Here is a 12,195-nt window from a genome sequence, read left to right on the forward strand (position 1 = left end):
AGGTGCAAAGTTCCTCCCACCTCCAAACCCTGTCTCCAGCTGGACTGTGTCCTGGGAACCCAGGTCCCAGAATGGACACAGACTGGGGAGCTCCCCAGGGGCTCCAGCTCAGGTCTCCTGGGTCCAGGCTGGGACGCTGGGTCCCCCACCAGCTGTCTGAGACCCCAGGCCTGGCGCCCTAGGGACGTGCCATCTCCATGTCTGCACTGAGGTCTTTGGGTTTCTGCAAGCTCCCCAGCTGATCAATAAGCTGCTCACAGCTGCAGACAGGCGAGCCCGCATGTTGGGTGGCCCCTGTGGCATTTCACTGGAGAAGCATTAATCAGCCCAACCTTTGCATCTGCCAGTGGCCTAGCTTGTGATGTGCTTGGAAAGCCAGGGCTCCCGGCCCGGGTCAGAGATGCCGCTGGGGTGCTCATCAGCTGGGGGCACTTGGGTTGAGGGCTTCTATCAACTCCCTCCTGTTACCCACTCTGCAGCGGTCACAGGAGCAGTTGCAGGACTCATGGTGCAGGGTCCCCGACAGCCTGGGGAGGAGCTGGTGGTGCCAGGGATGTGGGCGTGGGGACCCCAGGAGACAGGGAGTGAGGCCCTCCTGGATGCCCACGTTGTTCCTTTCTCCAGCTCGTCCCTCCTTCCCTCATCCCTGCTCCAGGGTCTCCTGAGTCTCACCCACTTCCACACGCGTCTCTGACAAGTGGGTCCCCACCGCCAGCCTCCCCAAAAACTTCCTCCTGATAACACAGCATCTGATCACTCATCCCAGGGCCCTCCGCAGACTCCAGTCAGGGCCCCCAGACCCCAGCTCACAGCTGCGCCTCCTGCCAGCTCTGGCCCCTGCCCTCCCCTGACCCAGAGGCTGCTCCTCCTTCCTGGGGTCTCAGGCCTCGCCTCTTCCATAAAGCCTTCCCTGGGCCAGGCGGGGCCCCCACTGTTTGCCTGCTTCCCCCATTGGTTGGGGGCTCCAGGAGGGAGGGAGAAACCCGAGCACAGGCAGGCCAGACAACAGGTGCAGCCCGGGCCCCTGAGTCCTGCGACCATCCTGCTGGTGCCGTCCGAGCTTCTTCCACATAGGCAGGCTTCGAGGCCGCCCGCCCACCTCCAGGGGCCCCAGGAGAGAACAGGAGCCAGAGAGGAATCAGAGCCACCCACTTCCCTCCCAGCAGAGGCCACCTGTGCAGATATGGGATCCCAGGGGGCTGCGGGGCCTATGAGGCTGCACAGGGACACAGACAAAAGCTGGGCCATGCAGGACGGCCGTGCAGCCAGGCCACCCAGGAGCGCACTCCCTCGCTAGCCAGAGGCAGCCTGGGCCAAGACCACTGAGGGCAGTGCCCCACCCACTCCCCGTGGAGCACATGCCTGGCTCTGTTTAGCCCGGGAGTGCAGCTCTCCCAGTGCCTCCAGCTGATGTGGCCGCTGTGCCCTGGGACCTCCTGCTTCCTTAGCAGATGTCAGGTGTGCCCCCGTCGGAGCCCCCTCAGCCTCCAGAACCCAGAGTGTGGGCCAAGAACCACAGCCATGGAGTCAGGAGCATGTGGGCTTCCAGGCTGAGGAGAGGGGCCCTGGGGCCCAGGGAGCCGGGAGAAAGCAGCCCCCACCCATGGCCCCGCAGCCCCTCGCAGGGGGCTTGTCAGCCCTGAGGTCTAGCAGGGGGGGCATCTTCCTCCAGGCCAGCTCTGGGGGCACCACACTGGGTGGGTGCTGGGGCCCAGGGATACCTCCTGCTCCTCACCCTGCTGGGTTCAGCTGCCCACCTGGCCTTAGGAGCCATCTGTGGTTTCTGACCCTGGGCTTTGCCTCCAGGTCTCTAGCCCCCTCTGGAGCGGGTCAGAGAGGTGGGTGCTCCCAAGGCCAGTGTCTGCGTGGTCCTCGAGCCTCCTGCTGTCCAGTCTCCTGGCCTCCTGGCCCCTTCCCCTGCAGCAGGTCCTGTGGGGTACAGGGGGGAGAAAGGAGAGGCCTGAAGGGGCTTCCCCCCGGCACCCTCTGCCCTCTGGGCCCGGGGATATTGAAGCTGGGCAAAGGCCGCTGCCGAGGCCTGCAAACCCCAGGAAGTGGGTGCAATCCTCCCTTTGGCAGCCCCAGCACACCTGCTCCTGCAGCCTCCACCCTGCCCCTGGGGCCCAGAGGACGTGACCCTGAGCACTTGGGAGGGGCAGTTGCTGGGTGGCAGGAACCCGGGCTGCATGGTTTGAACCCCACCTCTGCCACCTCTGCCAACTCTGTGCCTCAGTCTCTCCACCTGTACAGGAGGCACTGAGACAGTTCTGGCCCTGAGGGTGTCACAGAGCACCTAGCCGAAGACGTCTGCGCCTCAGGCTGTGCCCCTTTCAGGGCTCCCGTCGGTGTCCCAGGGCTGCTGCCACAGAGCCAGCATGTGAGTGGCTAAGACACGTGTTTGCTCCCACAGTGCTGGAGGCCACGTGCCTGCAGTCAAGGTGTCAGCAGGGCCACGCTCCCTCCGAAGCCTCTGTCCCTCAGGGGGGACCCTTCCTTGACTCTGCCGGCTCCCGGTGGCTCCTGGCGTTCCTGGGCGTGTGCCTGCATCACCCCAGCCATGCCTTCTCACGGACTCCTCTCTGTGTTCTCTGCTATCCTTGTAGGGCCCATCCTAGGTCCGGGTGACCACATCCAGAGATCCCTAACATCCCTAACCCATGACATCAGCAAGGCTACTTCCAAATAAAGCCACATCCTGAGGTTCTTGGTGGACATGAATCCATGGAGCCCATTCCCTGGCTGGAGCAGGAGCTGGACAAGGGGCCCACCTTGAGCCCCACCTTGAGCCCCACCTTTAGCCGTACCTAGAGCCCCACCTTGAGCCCCTTCCCACAGAGGGAAAAGGCCAGGGCTTAGGGTGGCTCAGTGACCTTGCGGGACCATGCATGGCTGACGGGCCTGAGGGTGGGTGGAGAAAGGCGTGAGACCCCTGCGTGAGCTGGTTCTGGAGGGGACTTTTGGCTTGGACTCTAAATGCAGAAGACGACCCCGCCTCGCACTGCAGAGGAAGAAGTAGACCCCTCTGCATTGCCCCCCTAGGGAGTAGAAGATGAGCTCCCAATGGGTGGGGCTGCAGGTGCCACCACAGGTGACGCTGGGATGGAAACCTGCATCAGGAATCACCCTGTGGCTGCAGAAAGTGCTTGGCCTCCTTGTCCTGCAGGCCTGGAGGCCACTCACATCCGACTGTGAACCCAGCCCAGCCCCTTGGTCTCTTTCTTGGTGTCCTGGGAGGAGCTGCCACCTGTCACGGGACACATGGAAATGTGTACACAGGGCTTCCCAATGTTGTGTGACCCACACGCTGGTGACAGAGAACGAGCTGACTATGGCCACTGGCCCAAGAACACTGACCACTCAGGGAGGGAACAGGCAGTGCCCCTGTGTCCTGGTGGCCGAGCTGCCGTGCTGGTCCCCAGGACATGCACATGCCCTGTTCCAAACGCGTCTTCATAAACATCAGCTGGTATTTCTCAATCGCATCTTCGTAAACATCAGCTGGTATCTCTCTTTCAACTTTTCACCTGTGCCAGCTCCAGTGTGAGGAGTTCATAGCCAGCACATTTGGGACAACTCCCAGATGTGCCAAGACCGAGACCAAGACCAGACCAAGGCCAGTGGCCCAGGGCGGAAGAGGGCACTGAGTGAGGGAAGAACCGGCACTTCCACAATTAGGATGCACGATGTGGAGGCAGAGGTGGGGGAGAAGGGAAGGCTCTTCTTTACAGACAAATGTCAGCTAATAGGTGTAGATGGCAGAAAAAAGTGCAGGCAGAGAGGCAAGAAACGATGAGAACCTCCGTATATGGAAGTGCAGGCTGCCCTGAGGGAGACCGAGGAAGGTCGGAGAGCTTGGGCAAGACTTGAAGGAGAGTCTAGGTCAACTGGAGCCGAGACACTCTCCCTGCCTGGGGCACCGGGGAAGTTGGCATCCTTCTGAGTCGTCGAGCAGTGCCCTACTGAGACACTGAGCTGTGGTGTAGGGTTTCCTAGCTATGTGGACAAATGAATGGACATCCCTCCCAGGCTTGGCACCCTGGCAGTCCAAGGGGCCTTCCTGTTCTCAAAGTACATGCAGCACTTGGGAAAAGTAGCTGCACATCCCACAGGAAGTGAGTGAGCTGACTTCAGTCAGTTCATGCTGTAGCAACAATGTTTCCTGACCAGGATGCAACGAGCTAACAGTCAACATGAGATCTTACAACTGATCTTAATAATTTGAGATAAGAAGAAGCTTTCAGGGGCTGGGCGCGGTGGCTCACGCCTGTAATCCCAGCACTTTGGGAGGCCAAGGTGGGTGGATCACAATGTCAGGAGATCGAGACCATCCTGGCTTACACGGTGAAACCCCGTCTCTACTAAAATTACAAAAAAAAAAAAAAATTAGCCAGGTGTGCTGGCGGGCACCTGTAGTCCCAGCTACTCGGGAGGCTGAGGCAGGAGAATTGCTTGAACCTGGGAGGCGGAGCTTGCAGTGAGCCGAGATCACGCCACTGCACTCCAGTCTGGGCGACAGAGCCAGACTCCATCTCAAAAAAAAAAAAAAAAAAAAAAGAAGTAGAACCTTCCAAAATTACCATTTATTTGGAAAATAAAATATACACTTCTAAAAGCCGTGAGTTAAAGAATAACACATGATAGAAATGAGAAATGCTTAGAACCAGATTACAGTGGGTGCACTGCCTATTATGTATGAGTACATGAAACTCTCCACGTACATATGGAATATTGCAAAGTGCAACTAACTCACTCCAGAAATTAGACAGATTTAAAAGAAGGAAACAATGGAAATTAATGAGCCAAGCCTTCAACGTAAGTGACAAAAAGAACAAGAGGCTAAAGCAATAAAAGCAGGACAAAGATACAAATATGAGCAGAAACTCAGGAAATAGAAAATAAAAGGCAAATCGGGTGGATCAAAGACAAATGTTGGCTGATTATTAGAAAGATGAAGGTGACAGACGCCACTGGCAAAAACAGAGAGAGAGAGAACAGAGTCGGTATTAGGAATGAAAAGGAGAATCATCAAACACAAGCAGAAGTTTAAAGATAAACATATCAGGAACCAGTCCGTTTGAAATCTTTTCCAAAACAGGTAAGATTTTAAATGGATACATTCCCAGAAAATTGTGGAAAATGAATACATTCGCAGAAGATCATGACAAAAAATTGATTCAAGAAGGAAGAGATGACCTAATAATTCTACAACCATTAAAGACATTTAACCATTGATTTAAAATCTCCTGCAAGAAAACTCAGGTTGACAGGTGTGGGAGACCAGAACGCGCCTCCTGAAAAGCAGGCCTGTGGGGCTGAGGGCCTCTGCGAGGAGCAACGGAGGTAGAGCTCCCGGTCCCCCCTCGACACAGGACACGGGCTTACAAAGACGAAGGAATCCTGCCCCCCTCTACTAGGGAGAACAAAGGTTAACCACTGAAGACAGCTTCAGACCCTCATCACCTGCACCTGAAGATAGTTCCAGAATAATCTGCACCAACAAGCTTTATGAAGGAGCCTTTATCTGACATTTATTCGCTTTTCCTCAAGTTCCTGCCTACAGAGACTCCAAGTCTTTCTTTTTTGCCCAGAACTTCTCTGAAAATCTATCGCTCTTTGTTAAAGATGCTCTACAAGCTGGAATTCAAAGCCGCCTCGTTGAGAGTGACTCATGCCCTAGGCATCTCCCACACATACGTGAAACACACATGTTAATAAGCCTCTGCTTGTTTTTCTTCTATTCATCTCTGTTTTGTAAGAGGGATCTGTTCCGACTAAGAACTCACAGGGTTCTTATTTTCCCCTGCCCAGGGTTGCACAGATGTGTTCTACCAAACTTTCAAGGAACAGAACGTTCCAGTCTTTTACAAACTCTTCCTGAGAGTAGAAAGGAGGGAGCACTCCCTGAATCATTGTGAAGCCATTACAATCTTTAAAACAAACCAGACAAGAATAGTCCAAGAAAAATCATGTTTTAGTACAATCTCACTCCCAAACAAAGACGTACAAACCCTAAACAAATCATTAGCACACTGAACTCACGGCGTCTATTTTTAAAAGGTGATGACACTCATGACTGTGTTGGGATTTGCTGGGATTATCCCAGGAATGTGAGTGATTTAGACCGAGAAGATCGATAACTTTCATTCACCGCATGAACGGATTAAAGGGGAAGACAGGCTCATCCCAGTGGATGCCGAAAATCACTCAACACAACTCAAAACACACTCAGGAAAAAAGGAAGAGACTTTTCAAACTTAGAAATGGGAAACTTACCAAAAACCTACAGCAGACCAAAAATGGGGAAACACCGGTGCATCCCCTTTAAAAATCCAGAGCCCAGGCTGGGCACGGTGGCTCACGTCTGTAATCCCAGCACTTTGGGAGGCCGGGGTGGGCGGATCACGAGGTCAGGAGATGGAGACCATCTTGGCTAACACGGTGAAACCCCGTCTCTACTAAAAATACAAAAAATTAGCCAGGTGTGGTGGCGGGCGCCTGTAATCCCAGCTACTCAGGAGGCTGAGGCAGGAGAATGGCGTGAACACGGGAGGTGGAGCTTGCAGTGAGCCGAGATTGCACCACTGCCCTCTAGCCTGGGTGACAGAGTGAGACTCCGTCAAAAAAAAAAAAAAAATCCAGAGCCAAGGTGGGAATACTCTCCCCTCAGCGGCACGGCAGAGATCCAGCCGAGGTTTAACGCAGGGCAGCCTCACACCTTGTCATTCACTGGAACAGCAGTGAAGAGAACCAGGATTGGAAAGGAAGAACATAATTCATAAATTCCAGGCAATGATTATTACAAAAACAAAATGAATCTGTAGAGAAATTACTAAAAGAAAGTTAACAAGGTAGCCGGCTTACAAGATCCACATAAAAAGCCATTGTATTTCTTAACATCAGCAAATAGAAAACATAATTCAAATAAAGATAGTTACAATAATAATAATGAATTATAAGAAGTGACTCGATATAAAAATGGACAAAGTATTTGATAGCCATGTTCCTCAGAAAGATATACAAACGACCAATAAGCTCAGGAAGAGATGCTCAAGGTCATTAGTCGTTAGGAGAATGCAAACAGAAACCCCAATGAGACACCAGGTCCTACCCGTGAGGACAGCTGCAAAAAGTAATCCAAGTAGTCCTAATACAAGGAAAATAACAGCAGTTGGTGAGGGTGTAGAGGAATTGGGACCCCCACAGATTGCTGGTGGGAATGTAAAATGGGGCTGCAGCTGTGGACAGCAGTTTGGTGGTTCCTCAAAAAGTTAAACAGGCCGAACTCGGTGGCTCACACCGGGAATCCCAGCACTTTGGGAGGCCAAGGTGGGAGGATCACTTGAGCCCAGGAGATCAAGACCAGCCTTGGCAACATAGAGAGACCCCGTCTCTACAAAGAAATAAATTTAAAAATGGCCAGGCGTGATGACAGAGCCCTGTAGTCCCAGCTACTTAGGAGGTTGAGGTTGGAGGATCGCTTGAGCCTGAGAGATCAAGGCTGCAGTGAACCTTGGTAATGCCACTGCCCTCCAGCCTAGGTGACAGAGCTAGAACCTGTCTGAAAAAAAAGTTAAACAGAATTACCATATGATGCAGCAATTCCATTCCTAGGTCTATACCTTAAAGCCATATGTCGTATAACTTAATTAATTAATTAATTAATATATTATTTATTTATTTTGAGACGGATTCTCACTCTGTCGCCCAGGCTGGAGTGCAGTGGCGCGATCTCGGCTCACTGCAAGCTCCACCTCCCGGGTTCACACCATTCTCCTGCCTCAGCCTCCCGAGTAGCTGGGACTACAGGCACCCGCCACCGCGCCTGGCTAATGTTTTGTATATTTAGTAGAGATGGGGTTTCACCGTGTTAGCCAGGATGGTCTTGATCTCCTGACCTTGTGATCCACCCACCTCGGCCTCCCAAAGTGCTGGGATTATAGTTGTGAGCCACCGCGACCGGCCTGTATAACTGCATTTATATGAAATGTCCAGAATAGGCATATCCATAAAGACAGAAAATAAATGAGTGGTTATTGAGGGTAGGGGCATGTGTGGAGTTTCTTTTTGGAGTGATTGAAATGTCTAAAATGAGAGCGAGATGATAGTTACACAACATTGAATATACTAAACCACTGAATTGTGTGCTTTAAATGGTTAAAATGATGAATTTTTTATGATGTGAATTTTATCTCAAAAAATTTATTGAACCATAAGGTACCTAGGAACAAATCTATATAAAGACAGAAAATACCTACATAAAGAAAATACTATGACAGAAACATAAACAAATAAATGGAGATACACCATTTTAATGGAGAGATACTCAATCTGTACAGATGTTCCACCTCCCAAAATTTATCTCTCCATCCAATACAGTTGCAGTCACTATCCCAACAGTTTCTGTGGAATTTAACAAGCCAGTTTTAAAGATTACATGGTACAACAAGTGGAAAAGAATAACCAAAGACATCCCTGAGGAAGAACAAGCAGAGGGTGTGTCCTATCCGATTCACGTCGCTGAGCTAGCGTGTCACTGCCGAGAGACAGGCTCGCCTGTGAAGCGGAGGAGGACATTAGTGTAGAAACGCACAGCCTTGGACAGGCTCGCCTGTGAAACGGAGGAGGACTTCAGCGTAGAAATGCACAGCCTTGGACAGGCTCGCCTGTGAAACGGAGGAGGACTTCAGTGTAGAAACGCACAGCCTTGGACAGGCTCGCCTGTGAAACGGTGGAGGACATCAGTGTAGAAACCCATAGCCTTAGAGCTTTTGGAGGAAAATATCTGATCGTGAATTTTATGACCTCATAATAAGAGAGAATTTAAGCAAGACCCAAAAAGGTCAACCATAAGAGAAAATATTTCCTAAAGTGATGTCTGAGTCTGCTCCAGCTGCCATAACAAAATACCTTAGACGAGGGATTTAGGAACAGTAGAAGTTTCTTGCTCACATTCTAGATCTGGGAAGTCCAAGATGAAGGTGCCGGCAGTCTGGGTGTCTGGTAGGCCCTGCTCTACGCTTCAGCGGTAGTAACTTCCAGCCGTGTCCTCACGTGGTTGAAGAGCAAAGGGGCCCCTTCATGCCTCTTTTGTAAGGACACGAATCCCATTTATAAGGGCAGAGTCCCCGTGACCGAATCACCTCCCAAAGCCCTGCCTCTTCATTCCCACACATGAGAGGTTAGTGGTCAACATAGGAGTTTTGGAGGAACACAGATGTCCAGAACACAGTGAGTGACGGCATTAGAATTGAACACTTCTCATCATTAAAAACCACCACATAAACATACAGGCCACTCACCAGGGGAAGATATTTGTAATGTAGACAAATTTCAAATGATCACTATCCAGGTTTTTTTTTTTTTTTTTTTGAAACAGGGTCTCACTCTGTCGCCCAGGTTGGAGTGCAGTGGTGCAAACACTGCTCACTGTAGCCTTAAACTCCTGAGCTCAAGTGATCCTCGAGCCTCAGCCTCCAGAGTAGCTGGGACTATAGATGTGCGCCAGCATGCCAGTCTAATTTTTTTTATTTATTGTAGTCTTGCCATGCTGCCCAGGCTGGTCTCAAACTCCTGGGCTCAAGCAATCCTCCCGCCTAAGCCTCCCTAAGTGCTGGGATGACAGGTGTGAGCCACTGTGCCCAGCCACTATCTAGGATTTTTAAAAGCACATTACTTAAAGTATAAGAAAATCCCAAACAGGCCAGGTGTGGTGGCTCATGCCTGTAATCCCAGCTACTCAGGAGGCTGAGGCAGGGGAATCGCTTGAACCCGGGAAGCAGAGGTTGCAGTGAGCCGAGATCACACCATTGCACTCCAGCCTGGGTGACAGAGCGAGACTCTGTCTCAAAAAAAGAGAAAGAAACCCCCAAACAATCCAATGTAAAACTGTGCAAAAGACGTGAACCTCCGAGGTGGAGCCACCAGCGATCCGCCGCCGGGGGAGAGGCCGTCCACTGTCCTTCATCAGGTGGGAATGTGAATTTGCCACCCAACAGATGGGCAAAAAGTGAGAAGCCTGACAAAACCAAGCGTTGGGTGGAGCCCCGAGTCCACACAGAGCTCTCCCGCACCACTGCTGAGAGTGCAAACTGGCACAGCCAGGTTGGAAAACCCTCTCCTGGACCAAGCAGATCCCTTCTGAGACTCCAGCTGCCTCCTTCACCCCTTCAGGCTTTTCTTCACAGGCACCACCCGGTGGAGCCCCGATCACCAGTCACCGAGGGGAACGTCGCGCCGACACAGAGATTCCTGCAGAGCCCATTCCCGACCCACACACTGTTTCCCGTCTGTTCCTGGCCTGACGCATCCCCTGGGATGTCGGCTTTTGGGGGCCCGGATTTGTGTGTTAGGTTTGCTGTTGCATCTCTGTGGCTCAGACAGCCCTGGCACAGTTGCCACCGAGCAGAGGGCCGTGAGTAAAGGAGTGAATGAACGGTGCAGGGAGGGCGCCGGCTGGTTCTGTTGCAGGCATGTCCCGGAATGTCCCCTCCACTCAGGCCACCCCGACCCCGAAGCTGCATCGGCCTGGCCAGATCCCATCCTCCTCCTCCCCCAACCTTCCTGCAGCCCAGACTCTGGGACCACCTTCTTCAGTCCCCAAACGCACTGCAACCCTGGGACCCAAGAGCACAGGACACCCGAGACAGCCGAGGGCACCTTAGGGGCCTGTTGACTGAAGGAAAATACAAGTTAGTTTCATGTGGAAATCTGACTGAGGCCGGTGGACCGAGGCCTCCAGCTCAGGAGCAGCCCCGTGAAGTTGCGCCTACGAGAGTTTCAGTTCACGGTTTACCTCCAGCTGGTGAAGAGTCGCACCAGGTGTGGGTGCAGGAGGACGTCTGGTTAGAGGTCAGAGGCGTCATCCCCAACCCCGGCCGATGTTATCTTACGTGCGGGGAAAGGCAAGGACTGGACTCGTTCATCTTTTACGGAACGTGGTGAGTCAGGCAAGAGACCCGGGCCCTGTGCTCCGTCCTGTTTTGTCTTCGATGCTTCTCTCCGGTGAGCTGCAGGTGGCCACAGAGTCAGGCTTGGGAAGCTGTGCCGCAAGCGGGAATGAGTGGACGGGGCTGCTCACGCGGCTGCTTTTCCGTCACGGATGCCCCACCCGGTCCTGTGCGGGAGGCCCTGTTGAGGTGAGCTCCGCCCTGCCGAGTGTAGGGACTTTGCCTCCACCTCCAGGGTTCCACATCCTTCCAGTAGGACACAGGCAGACATCGCCTTGGGAGGCTGAATTTGCTCAAACGGCAAACACACGATGAGAGCCTGGGAGGGAATCCCGGCCAGGGCAGGGTGAGCAGACACTTCCAGAATCAGATCAACAAGCCCGTTCAGCACGAGCACAGCTCTGGTTTATAGCAGAGGGAATTGGATCAGAGGCCTGGAGCCCAGGGCCAAGGAGATTACAGCCGAGGGTGTCACAGTGGGGGGCACCCCACTGCATCCCAGCCTGGCCAGCGGGGAGAGCACCATCGATCCAGCTCTCTGGTCAAGACATGCTTCTTCCTAGAGGGACAAAGCCCCAAGCCATTGAGGACTCACTCTGCCCCTGCGGCTTGACTGGGCCCCACACTCCTGTCCCTGAGAAGCCCACTCAGGGCACTGGAGGTGGGGGTGCTCCCCAGGTGGATCCCTCCCATCTTCATATGAGGTTCTGGGGGAGGGCCTTCTTGGATGGAGGATGGAGGATGGAAGGCCAGGAGTCCCAGCTCCATCCAGGCCACCCCTGGAGCAGCAGGAGCTGGGACAGGTTTGCTCCCCACCTGCGGAGGACGGGGGGCGGTTTCTGTCCATCATCCTCTTCAGTGTCCCTGCTGCCCTGAGGCTCTGCGGGGTCCGGGGCCCCCTCACAAGCAGTCAGGCTGCCTGTTCCCAAGTGAAGGTGGTGGTCAGTCCTGGAGCGGCAGCTTTGAAAACGTCAGGGTGGGAACCGGAGGGGATGGTGACCCTTCAGAAGGGAGAGCGTGAGAAGCCCATGGAGGCTCCTGTGTCCACACGGTGTCTGTGTTCACACAGGAGACCTCAGGAGGGCCCTGGAGGCGGGTGGGCTGGGGGACAATTGCCCTCAGGATTGGAGGAGCAGGCCACTTGCAGGACCTGTCCTGCCCACTGCATGCGCCTGGTCGTGGGCTGCTGGGCTCCTTGGAGGAGGCCTCTCTGCTTTGGAAGGGCATGGCAGAGGCTCAGTGGTGGGCT

The 12,195-nt window shown here is 53.5% G+C and overlaps 3 annotated features.

Moving 5' to 3' along the window:
* Positions 224-824: an enhancer, noted in NCBI's record as "H3K4me1 hESC enhancer chr10:134290270-134290870 (GRCh37/hg19 assembly coordinates)". NCBI's record gives its function as "activates a minimal SCP1, AML or CMV promoter by ChIP-STARR-seq in naive H9 embryonic stem cells {active_cell/tissue: H9 hESC(naive)}" and the evidence as "EXISTENCE:reporter gene assay evidence [ECO:0000049][PMID:30033119]".
* Positions 825-1,426: an enhancer, noted in NCBI's record as "H3K27ac-H3K4me1 hESC enhancer chr10:134290871-134291472 (GRCh37/hg19 assembly coordinates)". NCBI's record gives its function as "activates a minimal SCP1, AML or CMV promoter by ChIP-STARR-seq in naive H9 embryonic stem cells {active_cell/tissue: H9 hESC(naive)}" and the evidence as "EXISTENCE:reporter gene assay evidence [ECO:0000049][PMID:30033119]".
* Positions 3,830-4,429: an enhancer, noted in NCBI's record as "H3K27ac-H3K4me1 hESC enhancer chr10:134293876-134294475 (GRCh37/hg19 assembly coordinates)". NCBI's record gives its function as "activates a minimal SCP1, AML or CMV promoter by ChIP-STARR-seq in primed H9 embryonic stem cells {active_cell/tissue: H9 hESC(primed)}" and the evidence as "EXISTENCE:reporter gene assay evidence [ECO:0000049][PMID:30033119]".

Source organism: Homo sapiens, chromosome 10, assembly GCF_000001405.40.
Source record: "Homo sapiens chromosome 10, GRCh38.p14 Primary Assembly".
NCBI classification, from domain to species: domain Eukaryota; kingdom Metazoa; phylum Chordata; class Mammalia; order Primates; family Hominidae; genus Homo; species Homo sapiens.